This window comes from Homo sapiens, chromosome 14 (assembly GCF_000001405.40).
Source record: "Homo sapiens chromosome 14, GRCh38.p14 Primary Assembly".
NCBI classification, from domain to species: Eukaryota; Metazoa; Chordata; class Mammalia; order Primates; family Hominidae; genus Homo; species Homo sapiens.
Window position 1 is genome coordinate 82,452,453 of NC_000014.9, and position 21,661 is coordinate 82,474,113.

The following is a 21,661-nucleotide window of genomic DNA, read 5'->3' on the forward strand; positions in this document are numbered from 1 at the left end:
AACATATGGTTAGTATGGTCAATATTGAATCAAAGTTGTTGGCATGAGGAAATTTTCTTGTACAGGAACATGAGAAGAAAATATAGGAAGTAAATAAAATTCTGTGGCTATATCAAAGCCCAAAGGAGGCCAACATAGGACTGTGAATATTTTCAATGGCAAAGAAAGACAGAGACAGAGAGAAAGAGACAGAGAGAGACAGGGAGAGAGAGAGAGAAAGAGATTTACAATTGAGGGGAAGAAAGATAAATAAGATTCTGGGGCAAGAGATTGAAGAGGCAGACAAAATGGCAAGGGAGAGCAGTGATCTTGGCAGAAATATGTTAGGTTGATTCAAACAAATGTGAATAAGTAGCTAGAAAACAGAAGGTTACAATAAGCAAGGCTGGAAATGTGTTGGGTATGAACTAAATATTTGGCTTTCTGCCATATCAGGTCTTCATCTATTTCCCAAAGTTTGCACATTCTAATAATCTTTACGCCTTGACATCTTTTTCTTACAAAAATATGTATCTTTTTTTTTTAGTTACCATAGAGTTTGCAAGGACTGTCTAGTTTTGTGGTTATTAGCCACATGTGACTTGTAAAAACTTTTACCTGCAAATGCAAAGAATTTCTTAGTCACACTAATAGTATTTCAAATGCTCAATGGGCTCACGTGACTAGAAGCTGCTTAGTGGACAGTGCAGAAATTATAGACAATGTCTATATCACTGCAGAAAGTTTTTTTTTTTTTTTTTTTTTTTTGGACAATTCTGCTCTAGAAAGACTGGGAGCTGGTTTAATTGTGCTTTTCACAGAGTGGAGGTTTAGTAGATCTGTGGAATAAGTGTTGAACAAATGTAATGAATACTGCTCAAATGACACCTTCTTAGATATCAGACCGGAGCAGGTCCTATGTAACAAGCTTTTATTGTCTGCTATGTTTCTCCTTCAGATCATTCATAACAGTGTGATTAGTCATTATTTCTGTTGTTATTATTTAATATTTGCCTCCCGCAAGTAATTGCATAGACTGTGACAGCAAGAGACCATTTCTTTCTTCTTGGTACCATTTCCTATCTCTTAACATTTTGAACTGCGAGAGCATGTTGTTTTAATGAAAGAATTAAAAAATGCTATAGGAAGGAATGGCATATTCTTATGAAGTTGGATATCACTCCACACAATTTTGACCACAGACAATTCTGTGCCATAGAAATACTTAAGGAGCAAGGAACTAGCAGAACACACAAGTGGGTAGGTTACCCCTCTCCTGTGGCTCTAACCCCGTCTGTATTAGCCACTCTAAGGCCTCACTGATGTGTGGAGTGCCTCAATGGGAGAAATAAGTCTGGCTTAGCATATTTTAGTGGACTTAACTACAGTGAAGTCCAGCTAGCCACTGAGTAGAAGCAGAATATCTGCTTTATAAATGTTAGTTTTGGGGAGTCAAGTCTGAGGCAAGACAGCACGTTCCCTGACCCATGGAGTTTCTATGGTGCTAGGGGCATGCAGTCTTGCAAAATGACTAATTATTCAGGAATATATTGTGCCCCAACCCAGTATTATGCCAGACAGAAATGTTCTCAGCCACACCTGCCAGTGTTCTTTGGGTGATGAGATACTCCCTTTTGTCTGGCCACAGGGAGGGAGGTACGAAGGCCCTGGCTGGAGAAAGTCAGCATAGTTGGGTTGTCAAGCACTGCTTTGATCAAGGAGGCAATGTTCTCATCAGTCCACGTTGGAGAGAAGGAGCAGATTAAGTGAAAGAGCTAGGTTTGAGTCTCTGACATTATTCCCATCAAAAAATGGGAAAGTGTGGTCCCCAAGGTGGGCAGCAGAAGCATCACCTGAGAATTTGTCACAAATGCAAATTCTCATGACCCTGGGGGTGGAGTCCAGAAATGCGTGTTTGAGCAAGCCACCCATGGGATTCTGAGGGGCGCTAAAGTTTGAGGATCACTGAACTAGAGGAAAAGGAAGTGATGTCATATCCCTGCCTTCACTGGATCTTGGAATCAGAGCCCAGTAATGGAGGCTGGGTACTGCTCCTGCTTCTGCCATGCAATAAGAGGATCATTTTTAAGTATATCCTTGAATAGAAACCATTTCCTAGCATTACATTTAGAATCATCAGCTACCCAAGGCCTTCTAAGACTGATCTCAGAGAGGAAGAACTTCAGATGATGAGATTTTCTGGTATTGAGGCACAACCTTGCCAGGGCTCCAGCTGGTGCCAGGAACCTTAGATCAGGATTTATTCCAGCATCAGAAACATTGAGAATTGAGAAGCACCACCTACCCTGACTCCACAATGATCCTCTCCTTTCTTTTTTTTCTTTTCCTTTTTATTTATTTATTTATTTTTTTGAGACAGAATCTTGCTCTGTCACACAGGCTGCAGTGCAGTGGCACCATCTCACTCACCTCTGCCTCCTGAGTTCAAGCAACTGTCCTGTCTCAGCCTCCTGAGTAGCTGGGATTATAGGTGCCTGCCACCACCCCCAGCTAATTTTTGTATTTTTAGTAGAGACATATGGGGTTTCACCATATTGGTGAGGCTGATCTTGAACTCCTGACCTCAGGTGATCCACCTGCCTTGGCCTCCCAAAGTGCTGGGATTACAGGCATGAGTCACTATGCCTGGCCAATCCTCTCCTTTCTAACATAGCACAGCTTCTGTTTTTTAAGTCCATAAACCGAAATATCTTGTAATTTACCACTTTCTGTCTGAAAAGCTCCTCTTCAGCAGCTTTTAGGGATTTCAAGATAGTATTTTGTCTCTGTCAATACTATATTGTTAAGTAGTTGGTCCTCCTATAGAAAAATAAAAAAAAAAAAATCCAAAGCAAAATTAAATATTAACTCACTCTGTGATGTGGGAAAACTTTCTAGTAGGAAAAACAAAAAGAATTCAAATGTTTGAACTTATAAAAATATTTTTCTCTATCTTATTTTGGTGTATTTGAAGATCTGGCTGTCATTCCTCATGAATATATTCAGGAAATAAAATTATAGGTCTTGCCATCTTCACATATCTCAGTCAGGAAGTTAATCCCATCCAACCAAAAGTCCTGATCCTAACAGTTTTCCTGTTTATCCTCAGAGTCGGTACTTACCGGAGAAAGGAAACAGCTGGTCAGCATCTTATATGCCATTGGCTTTGGCATTCTGACTTACTTTTGGCAACAGAGTTGTTTCATTACTAACTCTGTAGAAGGTTTTAGAAATGGATACTATAGAAAATGACACCAAATTTCAATCAAATAAAATTTCCAGGGGAATTTTGATCAGTTTGCTGCTGGCAAGATGATTATAATCTTTTGAGAATGAAATTCACATGGAAAGGTGATCATGACCACATTCTCACAGTGAGCTCCATCTGGACATAAGCAGCTCCCTTTCAGAAAAACAGGTCTGATAACCCCTACTGAGAGGGCTTTCCACATCAAGGCAAATTTCATGTGAGCCAACATAAACTATGACATCAAAAAACACCAACTTCCAAAAGGTGGTAACCTCTTACTATAATGCAGAGAACAGAACACAATATTTCAGCTTCACTTTTGATATGCCTATGATATCATTACTGTTCTAGGTCTGCTCCAATAAATTGTTCATTTTTTTTTTAAATTACTGTAAGCTATAGGAATTGTTTTTGTTTCAAAACGTTTTAAAACAGGATCCTTGTAGCGGGAGCTCTTAAATCATCAGAATTTTCTTCCTTGTTATTCTATAACTGTTCAAAGAAAATTAATGTTCAAGTGATGACCCCAGAGTTTATAAGATTTTTTAGTATCAAAGAAAGATTAAATTACCTTCACAGAACTGTGTTTGTAAAGGAAGAAAGAAGGGATTAGCAAGGTTTTCAGAGATTTTGCAAAAGAGGCAGAAATAAAAATAGGTAACATGAGATAGGACGATCATCAACGGTGGCTAAAAGCTAGGTAAAATATTATGGAATAGGATGGTCACATCATGTTAAAATGAACTTGGTAGATTACTTGAAATTGCAAAAAAAAAAAAAAAAAAAGTCTTTTTTGTAATGCAATACCTGGCAGTGACCACTTTAACAATGTCACCAAAATTAGTTTCACTGATAATTAAACAACCTGACAGGTCACATTCTCCAACATTATGTGACTTGAAGGTCACAGCATCTCCTGTAAATTATTTTTGCCAAGTATGTGTAGTCCAGATTTCTTCAAGCCTGAGGCTGAATCTCTATCATTTAAGAAATATAAAACATAGAGAAACAAGTTAAATAACACAGGTAAGTAATAGGCAAATCCAGAATGTAGGCACACGGTAAGGCAACTGGCCTGGTTTTCCCAAATAAACAATAATATGCATACTATGGTGGGCTGCAGAATGGCCCACCACGATGTCCATATCCTAATCCTTGGAATCAGTGAATGTCACATTTTATGGCAAAAAAAGACTTTAAATATGTGTTTAGGGTTTTTTTGTTTTGTTTTGTTTTTGAGACAGAGTCTTGCTTTGTCACACAGGCTGAAGTGCATTGGCACGATCTCAGCTTACTGCAACCTCCACCTCCCAGGTTCAAGTGATTCTCCTGCCTCAGCCTCAACAGTAGCTGGGATTACAGATGCATGCCACCACACCCGGCTAATTTTTGTATTTTGGGTAGAGACGGGGTTTCACCATGTTGGCCAGGCTGGTCTCAAACTCCTGACCTCAGGTGATCTGCCTGCCTCGGCTTCCCAAAGTGCTGGGATTACAGGCGTGAGCCACCGTGCCCAGCTTAGGGTTCTTAAGAAAAGATTATCCTGGTGTTTACATAGTAAGCCATCAATGTAATCCCAAGTGTCCTTATAAGAGGGATACAGAGGGAAACTTGGCTATAGCAGGATAAAAGGTGATGTGCCTACAGAAGCAGAGCTTAGAGGAATGTGCCCAGAGGCCAAGGAATGCTGGAATCCCCTAGAAGTGAACAGGAAAGGAGCAGACGTTCATGGACTCACTGAAGGACCCAGCTGTGATGACACTTTGAGTTTAGCCCCTTGAGACTACTTTTGGACGTCTAAATTTTAGAACTATAAGAGAATATATTTGTATTGTTTTAAGCCACTGCATTTGTGGTAATTTGTTACAGTGGCTATAAGAAATGAAAGCACACAGAAAAGGAGAAGATAATAATGATGAACAAGTAGGAAGAAGCAGCACTCTTCTGGTCTCAGAGATTAAAGAGATATAGCAACTAAAAGTGGAGCCTGAATTCTGACTCGGGCTCCAAATTATTAAAAGCAGTTATAAAATCCAGTTGCTGAAATCATTGAGAATATGAGTGTGGACTAGATATTAGATGACACTAGAAAACCATTATTATTATTTTCTATCTTTAAAAATGCATTCTGAAGTAGACTTCTGTACCTTACTTTTTTTTTTTTTTTTTGAGACAGAGTCTCACTTTATTGCCCTGGCTGGCATGCAGCAGCAGCATCTCAGCTCACTGCAACCTCTGCCTCCCAGGTTTAAGCGATTCTCCTGCCTCAGCCTCCCGAGTAGCTGGGATACAGCTCCCCACCAGCATGCCCACCTAATTTTTGTATTTTTAGTAGAGGTAGAGTTTTACCGTGTTGGTGAGGCTGGTCTCAAACTCCTGATCTCAAGTGATCTGCCCACCTCAGCCTCCCAAAATGCTGGAATTACAGGTGTGAGCCACCGTGCCCAGCTGTACCTTACTTTCAAATTAAGAAAAAAATTAAAAAGCAATGCACATACATAGTAAGAATGATAAAGTCAATATGACAGAAAGTAAATAATTGTTTAAAGTAGGTGATGTATGTAGATTCATCGCACAAATCTTTTAGTGTATGTTTAAAGTATTCTTAATAAACAAGAATTATTATTATAGAAATTATTCCATAACAACAATGTATTCTGTAAAGTATTTAAAAGTTAGTCAGTTAAAAAACATTCATTAACCAGAATATCATTTTACTAGTTAGTGTAGGCTAAGTGCCATAACTCAAAACCCCGACATTCCAATTGCTGAGCAAAATAAAATTTCATATCTCAATCATGGAACATTCCATGGAACAGGCCTTCTTATCTGAAAGGTTCCCCTGGGCAGCTTATCTGCAAGTGATGTCACAGGGCCCTGCCCATCAGCTGGAGGCAGAAGCAAAAGAGAGCAAGGATCACACAGGAAGTTTACCATGGGCCTAGCCGGGAAGTGTGGCCTATCACTTCAACCTGTATTCCATTAGCTCTAATTTAGTCACATGGCTACATCTAATTGCACAGAAGTTCAATATTGTTATCCCCCCGTGCCTTTAGAAGGAAGGCTCCTGTTAACATCTAGCAGTCACTGCCACAATCCTTATCTTTTTGTATAACTCTGTGGTGCCATGATTTCTTCCAAGGAAATCAGTTAGAGAAAACTAAGTTGTCTACAGCATTTGATTGACCACAGACCAAAGTAAAACTATTAAAAAGAAGTCATTAAAATAATCCCACTGGAAAATCTTGTTAATGAGTTTTATCTCTTATTTATTTCCTTAGAATGTAAGTTATTGAATTAAGCTAACTGAATTATTGTATCATTTTATGTACACACACACACACACACACATACACTCAACCTTGACAGCATAAATAAAATGTATTTTTAGATATTACCATTTTTTTTTCCTGAAATCATGTAAATGTAGTCACATTTGACTGGTAGCCTAGGGAACAACGGATAAGCTGTCCCTGCCTTGTACTTCTTTGTAGTTACACAGTCTCTCTGCTTCTGTTTTGCCACTTGCACTGTAACCTCAGGCATTCATTCCCTCACCATTCTATCAAATATTAGTTAAGAAGTTTAAGTTGAGTACTGTGGGAGGAACCCTGTAACAACCGGGATATTTTAAGAAGTTTAAGTTGAGTACTGTGGGAGCAACCCTGTAACAACAGGGATATTTTTATGTTCATCAAAAAAGTAAAAGTGAATATTGGCAATACAGTTAAAGGAATAAACCTCTAACTTTGTAAAGCCACAGAAATAGACTGATAAACTAAACAGAAAACTGTGACAAAATAGGAAAGTAGGTCCAAATTATTATGTCAAAAGAAAAAGAAAATCTTGGTCTGCCCAATAATTATTGTTTTTAATAAAGGTAAAACATAAGATGGTAAACACTTAGCAAAATTATCTGACTTGTCTGAACCCCCAAAATGTGTTTGAACACACACACACACACACACACACACACACACACTCACTCCACATTTTTAGCCACCCTGCGGTCCTGCTCTCAGAAATGTAGCATAATCCATTAAACAAAAGTCGGGCTCAGGACTAAAATTCAAACTTCGGTCTGAGAATCACTAAGCTGTGCTACAAATTTGCTATTGCTGGTTGTTTCAGGGTTTATAAGTTGGCATTTATTACATAAAACATCTCTTTAATAATGAAGTTTTCTATTTTAATGAGGTTTATGGCAACAACTTTGCCTTCGACATTTTGGAAATCCTGGCCTTGCTATAGAACTTGACCTAAAAGGGTGACATGACCACATGAGGGTAATAAGCCATAGGTAGCAATTTTCATACTTGACTTCAGTCATTCTCATGTACATTGATGTCCATGAGGGATTGGCTTGGCTGAAATCCAGTCATTTTGCTCAATGAAACCTCTCTCCCCCAGTTTGTCTTTTTCTGCATCATTTGTGATCCTTGTAATATACCCTTTAGATTCAACTAATAGATGTGCCAAAAAAGTGGAGTCAACACAAACTATGTGCAGGGGCGTCCTGACTGTAGAAGAGAATTGAATAAATATGACAAACCTTTACATTTATCTTTGCATAGGCAGTCACATCCACAAGGGCTGCTGGTTCAATTTCCCGTCAAGAATAGTGAACAAGGGACTCCCCAAATTTCAGATATTCGATCTATGAATAGTGATAAAGTCAGTCACAGTTGTTGTGATAAAGATAGCTTTTATAGGTTTTACAATCAAGAATGGGCTGGGAATGCTGGCTCACACCTGTAATCCCCGCAATTTGGGAGGCTCAGGTGGGAGGATCATTTCAGCTCAGGAGTTCGAGACCAACCTGGGCAAGATGACAATACCTTGTCTCTACAAAACATACAAAAATTATCTGGGTGTGGTGGTGTGTGCCTGTAGTTCCATCTACTTGGGAAGCTGAGTCTGGAGGATTGTTTGAGCCTGGGTGGTCAATGCTACAGTAAGCCAGGATTGTGCCACTGCACTCCAACTTGGGAGACAGAGCAAGAACCTGTCTCAAAAAAAAAAAAAAAAATCAAGAATGAAAATATTATTAAGCAACAAACAAATATATAACAAACAATATCTGAACGCCTTTAAAAAATTTAACTTGCACATATTTGTCAATATGTCATTATATAAAAGCTTTTGACAAATTTATTTCTTCTGCAGATTTTCTTTTTTCATCTAGACATTTTAAAGTCATAGGAACTTATCCTGTAAGAGTCTTAAAACCAATTCTTTCTTCTTTTTGCTCTTGGCATGTGGTCAGAAAAATGTCAGTCAGGATATGATGTGAATAAAAAGACTAACTTTAGACATCATAGAAATTATCATAAGTACAAAGTTGTTTGATGAAAAAGAACAAAATTGTTATCAACTTTCTCTAAAGATAGTGTATAAATAGTAAAATGTGAAATGCAGTATCCTAAGAGACAACTACCAAGTGTCAAAGCAATTATTAATTAAAAGTGTACATTATATATTTCTGTAAAATATATTTAGAGAACATCATCTACCATTTAGCATACTTTATTGATTGATAGCTAATGGTGAAACAAACTATCATTTCTCTTTCATGCTCAATCTGAAATTTCAAATTTAAAACAAGGTTATATTTTGTCTTATTTATTTGTTTTCCAAATCGTTCACATTCGTGAGGAAGTAATCCCATGGAAAGGCAAAGAGAATCCACTGTCGTTTGCTTTCAGGTTATATTTATTTCAGTTGGAAAAAAATGATGGATGCTCTGTTTTGTGAATGAGGAAGTTTATTTTTCTCTGCAATTGATGAGAATCTTTTTCTTGGATTTATTTCTCAAGGGTTATATTTTTTCCAAAAGTTTTAAGGTTCTACATATTATACCCTGGACTAGCAATACATTATTCTAAGACCCTTCAAGGGAAAATGTCATTATTCTATAATCTTAGCTGTAGGGACCATGATTTAAATTTAACAAACAAAAATATTTATAAGATTAGGAAAAACATAGCAGTGATCACCTTACCAAAAATAATGCTTAATCTCAGAGACCATGACCTAAAAATAAATGCAAAGGAATCCTTGTTTTCAGCTTTCTGAAAAATATACAGGGCATTTGTTTAGTGATTAGAAATGGTGGTACCTCACACACTTCCTGATTTAAAATTATGTTAGAAAGGTATAGTAATACATCAAACAGTATGGTACTGGCATAAAAACAGACACATGGACCAGTGAAACAATAGCCCAGAAATAAATTCAAATATATGCAGTCAAATAATTTTTGAGACAAGTGTCAAGAGGGCACAACAGGGAAAGGATAGTCTCCTCAATAAATGGTGCTGGAAAAACTGGATTTTCACAAGCAAAATGATGAAATTAGATGCTTATCTTACACCGTACACAAAAATCAACTCAAAATGGATAAAAGATCCTTTTGTGGTTCATAAGAATAGGGATTGGGATTTCACACTCATGTGTGAGATGTGCCTCCCTTAAACCTTAAGATGTTGGCACATTACCTATTTGATGTGGGGAGAAAAAAAAAGAATAAGAAACCTAAATGTTGAGACAGAAACTCTAAAACTCTTAGAAGAAAACATAGGAGAAAAGCTCCTGGACATTGGCTTTGGCAATGATTTTTTATGTATCACAACTAAAGCCTAGGCCACAAAAAAACAATAATAAATAAGTAGAATTACATTAAACTAAAACTTCTGCACAAGAAAGGAAAAAAATTATCACCATGAAATGACAGGCTTTAAACTGAGAAAAAATACTGAAAAATCATATATGTGATAAGGAGTTAATATCCAAAGGGGTTAAAGAACTCACATAACTCAAGAGTAGAAAAATAAATAACTTGGTTGAAAAATGGGCCAAGGACCTACGTAGATATTTCTCTAAAGAAGACATAAATGTCACAAACAGGTATATGTTGGTGCTCCACATATGAAAAAGTGCTCAACGTCGTTAATCTTTAGAAAATTGCAAATTAGAACCACTATGAGATACCATTTCACACCCATTAAGATAGCTATTATCAAAAAATCAAAATATAACAAATGTTGGTGAATGTATGGAGAAAATGGAACTCTAAAAGATAACAAATCTTGATGAGGATGTAGAGAAAAGGGAACTCTTTTACACTGTTGGAGGAAAAGTAGATCCAGCCATTAAGAAAAATGGTATGGAGATCTCTAAAGAAATTAAAAACAGAACTACAGTATGATCCAGCAATCCCCCTTCTGGGCATATACCCAAAGAAAATAAAATCAATACCTAACAAAGATATCTGGATGTCTGTGCTCATTGCAGCATTATTTACAATAGCCAAAATGCAAACCATCTAAATGTCTGCTGACAGATGACTAGACAAAGACATTGATACACACACACACACACACACACACACACACACACACACACACACACACAGAGGAATATTAGTCATCCCTAAAAAAGAATGAGATAGAAAATGGCTGATTAGAAGCTACTTTGGTTCATGACACTTATGGAGAGAAATGAAAATGGGCAAGTGAATTCAGCACCTTCAGTTGAAATATCCAGGTTCTTGTATTGGGATTGACTAGGCAAACAGCCCAGCCCGCAGAGAAAGAAGAAAAGCAGGAAGGGATAATGGCCCAGCTGGAAGCAGCACAGAGCCAAAGAACTCCCACTCCCAGTTAAAGGAAGTGGTGAGTGATTGTGCGACCCGTCCCAAGAAACTGTGCTTCTCCCATGCATCTCTGCAACCCATGGATCAGGAGATCACCTCATGAGCCCACATCACCAGGACCCTGGGTCCAACACACAGAGCTGTGTGGAGTCTCAGTAGAACAGCCATGCAGGCACACATAGAGACCCAGGAGTTTTACATACTCCTATCCTGGGATCCCCAGCAAGGCAGGAAATCTATCTGTACATATTCCTAGGAAGGGGCTGAATCCAGGAAGCCAAGCAGCATCACTCTGTGGGCCCCACTTCCACAGCACCTCACAAGTTAAGACCCACAGGCTTGGAATTCCAGCCAGCCAAAGACAAAAGGCTGGAGTCTGCCTGAGACAGGACTGAGTTCCTGGGGGGAGGGGTGGCTGCCCTCTCTGTGTTTCAGTAGATTCAGTTATTTCACCCTGCCAGCTTTGAAGAACACAGGTGGTCTGGACAAGGAAGAGTCTCCCACAATGCACAGCTTCCTTCCCAGATAATGGCCAGACTGCTTCTGCAAGCAGAGCCCCAATCCATTCCTCCACACTGGGCAGGAACTCCCTGTGGGGGCTTCAGCCACTCCAGCCAGGGTTCAATAGATAGTTCTCTAATCTCTGCCTGGGATGAACTCCTCGCAGGGAGGGGCAGCAGCCATCTCTGCAGTTTGGTCAACTCAGCCATTCCAGCCTGCTGGCTTTGGCCAATCCAAAATGGTCAGGAAAAGGAAGTGTTCCCCTCAATGCAGCATACATGCTCTTCCAAAACACAGCCAGACTGCTTCTTTAAGTGGGTTCCTGATCTCGTTCCTCTTGATCGGTTGAGACTCCCCAACAAGGGTCTCTAGCTACCCCCTACAGGTGTGTTCAAGCTGGCAACAGGTCTGTAACCCCCTGAGATGGAGATTCCAGAGGATGGAGTTGGCTGCCATTTTTGCTGGTTGCAGCCTTCATTGGTGATACCTCCAGGAATGGGAAAAACCAAGGCAACTAGGGTCTGTAGCAGATCCCCAGCAAACTGCAGCAACCCTATGACAGAGTGGCCTAATTGTTAAAAGAAAAATAAACCAACAGAAAACAACTCAGCAAAAAAGAATCCACAAAAACCCCATCCAAACATCAGCAACCTCAAAGATCAGAGGTAGATAAGCCCCAAAGATGAAAAAAAATAAATGCAAAAACACTGAAAACTCAAAAAAACAGAGTGTCTCTTCTCCAAATGGTTGCAGCACCTCTCCAGCAAGGACACAAACTGGACTGAGGCTGAGATGTCCGAATTGACAGAAGTAAGCTTCAGAAGGTGGTTAATAATGAACTTCCCAGAGCTAAAGGAGCATGTTATAACCCAATGCAAAGAAGCTAAGAAACATGATAAAACAATACAGAAGCTGATAACCAGAATAACTGGCTTAGAGAGGAACATAACCAACCTGATGGAGCTAACAAACACAACACAAGAACTTCACAATGCAATTGCAAGTCTTAATAGCTGAATAAACCAAGTGGAGAAAACGATCTCAGAGCTTGGAGACTATCTTTCTGACATAAAACAGGTAGATGTGAATAGAGTACAGGAAATGAAAAGAATGAATAAAACCTCTGAGAAATAGAAGATTATGTAAAGAGACTGAACCTATGACTGATTGGGGTACCCAAAAAAGATAGAATGAAACCAAGTTGGAAAACATACTTCAGGATATCATTCCGGAGAACTTCCCCAATCTACCAAGACAGGCCAAAATTCAAATTCAGAAACTGCAGAGAACCCCAGTAAGATGCTCCAGGAGAAGATCAACCCCAAAACACATACTCTTCAGATTCTCCAGGGTTAAAATGAAAAAAAAAAGTTAAGGGCAGACCAGAAAGGCCAGGTCACTTATAACGGAAAACCCATCAGTCTAACAGCAGACCTCTCAATGGAAGCCCTACAAGCAAGAAGAGATTGGAGGCCAATATTTAATATTCTTAGAGAAGAGAATTTGCAAGCCATAATTTCATATCCAGCCAAACTAAACTTCATAAATGAAAGAGAAATAAGATACTTTTTAGAAAAGCAAATGCTGAGGGAATTCATTACCACCAGGCCTGCCTTGCTAGAACTCCTGAAGGAAGTACTAAATATGGAAAGGAAAACATGTTACCAGCCACTACAAAAACAAACAGAAGTACACAGAACAGTGACACTGTCAAGTAACCATATAAACAAATCTGCAACATGACCAGCTAACATCATGATGATAGGACCAAATTCACACATAATAATAACCTTAAATGTAAATGGGCTAAATGCCCCAATTAAAAGACACAGAATGGCAAGCTGGATAATGAGCCAAGACCCATTGGTATGCTGTCTTCAAGAAACCTATCTTAAATGCAGACACACACAGGCTCAAAATAAAGAGATGGAGGAAAATTTACCCAAACAAATGGAAAACCAAAAAGCAAGGGTTGCAAATAGTTTCTGACAAAATAGACTTTAAGGCAACAAAGATAAAAAAAAAAAAGACAGAAAGGGGCCTTTACATATTGGTAAAGGGCCCAGTTCAACAAGAAGAGCTCACCATCCTAAATATTGTGCACCCAATCCTGGAGCACCCAGTTTCATAAAGCAAGTTCTTAGAGACCTACAAAGAAACTTATACTCCCACACAATAGTAGTGAGAGACTCTAAGACCCCATTGACAATATTAGATTATTGGGACAGAAAATTAACAAAGATATTCAGGACCTGAACTCAGTTCTGGATCAAATGGACCAGATAAGTGTCTACAGAACTCTCCACCCCAAAAACAACAGAATATACATTCTTCTCATTGTCACACAGCATTTACTCTAAAATTGATCACATAATCAGAAGTAAAACAGTTCTCAATAAATGCAAAAGAATTGAAATTATAACAATCTCTCAGACCACAGAGCAATCAAATTAGGACTCAAGATTAAGAAATTCACTCAAAACCACACAACTACATGAAAAATGAACAACCTGCTCCTGAATGATTCTTGGGTAAATAAGGAAATTAAGGTAGAAATCAAGAGGTTCTTTAAAACTAATGAGAACAAAGAGACAATGCACCAGAATCTCTGGGATGCAGCTTGTGTTAGTTCATTCTCACACTGCTAATAAGTATATACCTGAGACTGGATAATTTGTAAAGGAAAGTGGTTTAACTGACTCATAGTTTAGCATGGCTGGAGAAGCCTCAGGAAACTTACAATGATGGTGGAAGGTGAAGGTGAAACAAACACATCCTTCTTCACATGGCACCAGGAAGAAGTGCCAAGCAAAGGGGGAAAAACCCCTTATAAAACCATCAGATGTCATGAGAACTCACTCACTATCATGAGAAGAGCATGAGGCTAACTGCCCCCATATTTCAGTTACCTCCCACTGGGTCCCTCCCATGACACATGGGGATTATGGGAACTACAAGTCACGGTGAGATTTGGGTGGGGACACAGCCAAACCATATCACAGCTAAAGCAGTGTTAAGAGATAAACTTATAGAACTAAGTGCCCACATCAAAAAGCTAGAAATAACTCAAGTTAAAAACCTAACATCTCAACAGCAAGAACTAGAGAACCAAGAGCAAACAAACCCCAAAGACAGCAAAAGACAAAAAATAACCAAGATCAGAGCTGAACTGAAGGAAATAGATATATAAAACACCCTTCAAAAGATCAACAAATCCAGGAGCTATTTTTAAAAAAACATTAATAAAATAGACTACTAGCTAGACAAATAAAAAAGAAAAGAGAGAAGAATAAAATAAACACAATCAGCAATAATAAGGGGGATATCACCACTGACCCCACAGAAATACAAACAACCATCCAAGAATACTGTAAACACCTCTATTCTCATAAACTAGACAATGTGAAGAAATGGATAAATTCCTGGAAACATACACCCTCCTAAGAGTGAACAAGGAAGAAATTGAATCCCTGAATAGGCCAAAAATTATTTCTGAAATTGAGGCAGTAATAAATAGCATACCAACCAAAAAGAGCTCAGGACAAGATAGATTCACAGCTGAATTATGCCAGAGGTACAAAGAAGACCTAGTATCATTTCTGCTGAAACTATTAAAAATAATCGAAAAGAAGGGACTCCTCCTTAACTCATTCTATGGGCAAGCATTATCCTGATACCAAAACCTGGCAGAGATATAACACACACACACACACACACACAACAACTGCAGGCCAATTTTCCTTGTTGAACATTGATGCAAGAATCTTCAACAAAATAGTGGCAAACTGAATCCAGCAGCACATAAAAAAGCTTATCCACCACAATCAAGATGGCTTCATCCCCAAATGCAGGGTTGGTTCAACATATGCAAATCAATAAATGTAACTCATCACATAAACAGAACTAAAGACAAAACCACATGATTATCTCAATAGATGCAGAAAAGGCCTTCAATAAAATTCAAAATCTCTTCATGTTAAAAACCTCTCAATAAACTAGGTATCGAAGGAATATACCTCAAAATAATAAGAGCCACATATGGCAAACCCACAGACAATATCATACTGAATGGGCAACAGCTGAAAGTATTTCCCTTGAAAAACAGTATAAGACAAGGATGCCCTCTCTCACCATCCCTTTTCAATATAGTATTGGAAGTTATGACCAGGGCAATCAGGCAAGAGAAAGAAATGAAGTGTATTTAAATAAAAAATGAGGAAGTCGAATTATCTTTGTTTGCAGATGACATGATCCTGTATCTAGAAAACCCTGTTGTCTCAGCCCAAAAGCTTCTTAAGCTGATAAGCAACTTCACAAAGACTTGGGATACAAAATCAATGTGCAAAAATTGCTAGCATTCCTATAGACAAACAAGAGGCAAGCAGAGAGCCAAATCATGAATGAACCCCATTCACAATTGCTACAAAAATAATAAAATACCTAGGAATACAGCTAACAAGGGAAGTGAAGAACCTCTTCAAGGAGAGCTACAAACAACTGCTCAAAGAAATCAGAGAGGACACAAACAAATGGAAAAACATTCCATGCTCATGGATAGGAAAAATCAATACATAAAAAATGGCCATATTAGCCACAGTAACTTAAAAATTCAATGTTATTCCCATTAAACTACCATTGAGATTCTTCACAGAATTAGAAAAAAACTATTTAAAAATTCATATGGAACCCAAAAAGCCCAAGGCAATCTTAAACAAAAATAAAGCTGGAGGCATTGTGCTACTGACTTCAATCAATATACTACAAAGCTATAGTAACCAAAACAGTATGGTACTGATACAAGAACAGACACTAGACCAATGGAACAGAATAGAGAACTCAGAAATATGACTGTACACCTACAACCATCTGATCTTTGACAAACCAGACAAAAACAAACAGTGGGGAAAGGACTCCCTATTTAATAAATGGTACTCTGAGTGCTGGCTAGCCACATGCAGAAAATTGAAACTGGGCCCCTTCCTTACACCTTATACAAAAATTAACTCAAGACAGATTAAAGACTTAAATGTAAAACTAAAAACTATAATAACCATAGAATGAGATCTAGGCAATACCATTCAGGACACATGTACAGGCAAAGATGTTATGACAAAAATGCCAAAAGCAATTGTGACAAAAGCAAAAATTGACAATTGGGATATAACTAAACTAAAGAGCTTCTTCTGCACAGCAAAAGAAACTGTCATCAGAGTGAATAGACAATCTACAGAATGGGAGAAAAGTTTTGCAGTCTATCCAATCTGACAGAGGTCTAATATCCAGAGTCTACAAGGAACTTAAACAAATTTGCAAGAAAAAAAAACCATAAAAAAGTGGGCAAAGGACATGAACAGACATTCTCAAAAGATGACATACATGCAGCCAACAAACATGAAAAAAAAGTTCAACATCACTGATCATTAGAGAAATGCAAATCAACACCACAATGAGATAACATCTCACACTAGTCAGAATGGTGATTATTAAAAAGTCAAAAAAAAAAAAAAAACAGATGCTAGCGAGGTTGTAAAGAAAAATGAACATTTTTACATGGTTGGTGGGAGTGTAAATTAGTCCAACCATTGTAGAAGACAGTATGATGATTCCTCAAAGACCTAGAAGCAGAAATACCATTTGACTCAGCAATCCCATTACTGGGTATATACCCAAAGAATATAAATTATTATATTATAAAGACCTATGGCACATGTATGTTCATTGCAGCACTACTTACAATAATAAAGACATGGAATCAACCTAAATGCCCGTCAATGATAGAACTGATAAAGAAAATGTGGTACATATACACCATGGAATACTATGCAGCCATAAACTGGAATGAGATCATGTCTTTTGCAGGGAGGACATGGGTGGAGTTGGAAGTTGTTATCCTCAGCAAGCAATGCAGGAACAGAAAACTAAACACCACATGTTCTCACTTGTAAGTGAAAGTTGAATGATGAGATCATGTGGACAAATGGCAGGGGAGCAACACACACTGGGGCCTGTCAGAGCAGGAGAGAAAACATCAGGAAAATAGCTAATGGATGCTAGGCTTAGTACCTAGGTGGTGGGATGATCTACGCAGCAAACCACCATGGCACCTGTTTACCTATGTAACAAACCTGCACCTCCTGCACATGTATGTTTGAACATAAAAGATGAAAAAAAAATAAGTGAAATAAGCCAGACATGGAAGGAAAAATATTGCAATATTGCATACTCTTTTTATTTTAAGTGCTGAGATACATGTGCAGAATGTGGTTTTTTTACATAGGTATACATGTGCCATAGTAGTTTCCTGCATCTATCAACCTGTCATCTAGGTTTTAAGCCCCGCATGCATTAGGTATTTGTCCTAACGCTCTCCCTCTCCTTGACCCCCAACCCCCAATAGGCCCTGGTGTGTGATATTTCCCTCCCTGTATCCATGTGTTCTCATTGTTCAACTCCCAGTTATGAGTGAGAACATGCGGTGTTTGGTTTTCTGTTCCTGTGTTAGTTTGCTGAGAATGATGGCTTCCAGCTTCATACATGACCCTGCAAAGGACATGAACTCATCATTTTTTATGGTTGCATAGTATTCGATGGTGCATATGTGCCACATTTTCTTTATCCAGTCTATCATTGATGGACATTTGGGTTGGTTCCAAGTCTTTGCTATTGTAAATCGTGCTGCAATAAACATATGTCTTTATAGTAGAATAATTTACAATTCTTTGGGTAGCATGATCTTGCTTATATGTGGAAGCTAAAAAAAAATTCCAGTATACAGATACACAGAACAAAACAGTGGTTAGCAAGGGTATGAGGAGGAGGTGAGGAGGAAAAAGGATCAGAGGATACAAAGTAGCAGCTATATAGGATGAACAAGATATAGGATACTAGAATGTAACAAGTCTAGAGATATAATATCATGAGGACTATAGGTAATAAAATTATACAGTATTTTGGATTTATGCTGAATGAGTAGATTTTAGCTGCTCTTGCTACAGAAACAAAACAATGGTAACTATGAGAGACCACGAATATTTTATTTCAGTATAGTAATCTTTTACGCTCTGTATGTATCCCATAACATAGTATTGTATATCTTAAATACTCACAATAAAATGTTTATTAAGGAAAAGAAATAGTGATACCTCAAAGTAACTTTTTCTGGGGACTAGGGTGTCTTTCTCCTTAAAAATTATTTATTTGGGCTGTTATGAATTCTCAACATCATCTCCAACAAATATGTATAGAATATGTTATCAGAAAATTATCAGTAGTCCCTGTCCCACTTTTTTCTGTATAAAAAACCCTTCTACTGTTCCATGTGATATTGTGGAAAAATCATTCCTTATATCTAGAAAAAAAAAAGCCTACGAATGAGAAGACTTCTGTACTTTTAAGACGTAGCCAAAACTAGAAACTATTTACATATCTATGTGCCCTGAAATAGAATGGACAAACAAATTTTGTTCTATTCTGAAGGGTGGAAGAATATGTTCCCCAAAGTTTGCTACTTTGGTATAAGGATTATTTTGATCTAAGCAAACTCAAGAAACAACAGATGCAAGAAAGACATTTTAAACTCCCCTTTGCTTCCTAAAATTGGAGATAAATCTCCCATGTGAAAGATATACTCCCTGTACCAGGAGAAAAGAAACATTCTGCAGTGAGCGGTCATAGCCAAGAGAATTCTATATGAAGACACCTTTTAAAAATAATTCTTACATTTCTATAGCTTTGTACATGATTTTGTTACTTTTCCACAATGGCCTCTCTTCTGTCAACCTAATTTAAGAGCATTAGGGGTTTGCCACTTCTTTGAGTCTCCAATTCCTTAAGATGGCTCTGGGGTAATGTAAAACTTAAGTTGTAATTTTTTTTCCTGCTGTTCTATCTTTTTTTAAATTTAATTCTCAAGACCAGCTAGAACCCTAAGAGGGTAGAGATAAAGTTTTGCCTCCCTTGTAATTCTCACAGTGGAATACTTCATAGCAATGAAAATAAACACTGAAACTATACTCGACAATATAGATGAATTCTCACAGATATAATGTTGGACAAAAGAAGCTAGACTCAAAAGAAGATAGATATCTGACTCCATTACTATAAAGCACAATAACTAATCTAAGCTTTCAGAAATTAGGATACTGATTGTTGTTCAGGGAGTGGCTAACAACTGAAAAGGGAGAGAATAAAGTAGAGCTTCTAGAGTGCTGGTAATGTTCTGTTTTTTTAATCTGAGTGCTGGTTATTCAGCATATCCAATGTGTGAAAATATGTCAATTTGTACAGTCATGAAATATATACTATTTGGTGTGTATTTTGTGTTAGATTAAAGGTGGACATAAATGCTTTGTTACTTCTCTCACTGAGGGGCAATGTCTGTTTCCACCCCGCTTGAATTTGGGTTAGCGTTAGTGGAAATCAATAAAATTAAGAGTATGTGACATTCTGAGACTTTTAAGGCTAAGTCATGAAAAGTTTTGCAGCCTTTGCCCAGATCTGTTGAAAAACAATTCACTGGAGCCCTGAGCCACTCCATACATCTGATTATCTTGAGACTGCCCCACTGTGAGGAATCCCAAGCCAGTAGAAGAAGCCTGGGTAGACACTTTGGTTGACTATTTTCTAGTCATCACTAGTAAGACAAAAGACATGTAAATAAAGCAGTTTAAGATTTTTTCAGACCAGGCCATCTGTCAGCTGATTATCACCAACTGACTCAGTTAAGGTCACGTAAAAAACAAACAAACAAGCAAACAAAAAAACATTCAGCTGACTCCTTTGCAAAATTCTATCTCTCAGAAATTATAGTATATGATAAAATAGCTGTGGTTTAAGAAGTTTTGGGGTAGTTTTATGCACAGCAATAGATAACTAAAACCTATACTATACTTTTCATTAAAAATGCTTTTTTTCACATTTATTTATTTATTTATTTTTTTATTATTATACTTTAAGTTTTAGGGTACATGTGCACATTGTGCAGGTTAGTTACATATGTATACATGTGCCATGCTGGTGCGCTGCACCCACTAACTCGTCATCTAGCATTAGGTATATCTCCCAATGCTATCCCTCCCCCCTCCCCCCACCCCACAACAGGCCCCAGAGTGTGATGTTCCCCTTCCTGTGTCCATGTGTTCTCATTGTTCAGTTCCCACCTATGAGTGAGAATATGTGGTGTTTGTTTTTTTGTTCTTGTGATAGTTTACTGAGAATGATGATTTCCAATTTCATCCATGTTCCTACAAGGGACATGAACTCATCATTTTTTACGGCTGCATAGTATTCCATGGTGTATATGTGCCACATTTTCTTAATCCAGTCTATCATTGTTGGACATTTGGGTTGGTTCCAAGTCTGCTATTTTGAATAGTGCCACAATAAACATACGTGTGCATGTGTCTTTATAGCAGCATGATTTATAGTCCTTTGGGTATATACCCAGTAATGGGATGGCTGGGTCAAATGGTATTTCTAGATCTAGATCCCTGAGGAATCGCCACACTGACTTCCACAATGGTTGAACTAGTTTACAGTCCCACCAACAGTGTCAAAGTGTTCCTATTTCTCCACATCCTCTCCAGCACCTGTTGTTTCCTGACTTTTTAATGATTGCCATTCTAACTGGTGTGAGATGGTATCTCATTGTAGTTTTGATTTGCATTTCTCTGATGGCCAGTGATGGTGAGCATTTTTTCATGTGTCTTTTGGCTGCATAAATGTGTTCTTTTGAGAAGTGTCTGTTCATATCCTTTGCCCACTTTTTGATGGGGTTGTTTGTTTTTTTCTTGTAAATTTGTTTGAGTTCATTATAGATTCTGGATATTAGCCCTTTGTCAGATGAGTAGGTTGCGAAAATTTAGCATTCTTATACACCAACAACAGACAAACAGAGAGCCAAATCATGAGTGAACTCCCATTCACAATTGCTTCAAAGAGAATAAAATACCTAGGGATCCAACTTACAAGGGATGTGAAGGACCTCTTCAAGGAGAACTACAAACCACTGCTCAAGGAAATAAAAGAGGATACAAACAAATGGAAGAACATTCCATGCTCATGGGTAGGAAGAATCAATATCGTGAAAATGGCCATACTGCCCAAGGTAATTTACAGATTCAATGCCATCCCCATCAAGCTACCAATGACTTTCTTCACAGAATTGGAAAAAACTACTTTAAAGTTCATATGGAACCAAAAAAGAGCCTGCATCCCCAAGTCAATCCTAAGCCAAAAGAACAAAGCTGGAGGCATCACACTACCTGACTTCAAACTAT

The 21,661-nt window shown here is 38.0% G+C and overlaps 1 non-coding gene across 1 annotated transcript, besides 2 other annotated features; it reads left to right on the forward strand.

Moving 5' to 3' along the window:
* Positions 1 to 9,635: 9,635 nt before the first annotated feature.
* On the forward strand, positions 9,636 to 9,736 carry LOC124903428 (small nucleolar RNA U13). The gene has a single exon (XR_007064411.1). It is a non-coding gene; the product is annotated as a small nucleolar RNA U13 (small nucleolar RNA).
* Positions 11,572 to 11,741: an enhancer, noted in NCBI's record as "experimental_37909 CRE fragment used in MPRA reporter constructs". NCBI's record gives its function as "activates a minimal promoter by MPRAs in K562 erythroleukemia cells, with activity observed for both the introgressed and non-introgressed 14:82930453 or rs74631963 variant alleles {active_cell/tissue: K562}" and the evidence as "EXISTENCE:reporter gene assay evidence [ECO:0000049][PMID:34662402]".
* Position 11,657: a transcriptional cis regulatory region, noted in NCBI's record as "Neanderthal adaptively introgressed variant 14:82930453 (GRCh37/hg19 assembly coordinates) or rs74631963 in the experimental_37909 CRE". NCBI's record gives its function as "modulates activity of the experimental_37909 enhancer by MPRAs in K562 erythroleukemia cells {active_cell/tissue: K562}" and the evidence as "EXISTENCE:reporter gene assay evidence [ECO:0000049][PMID:34662402]".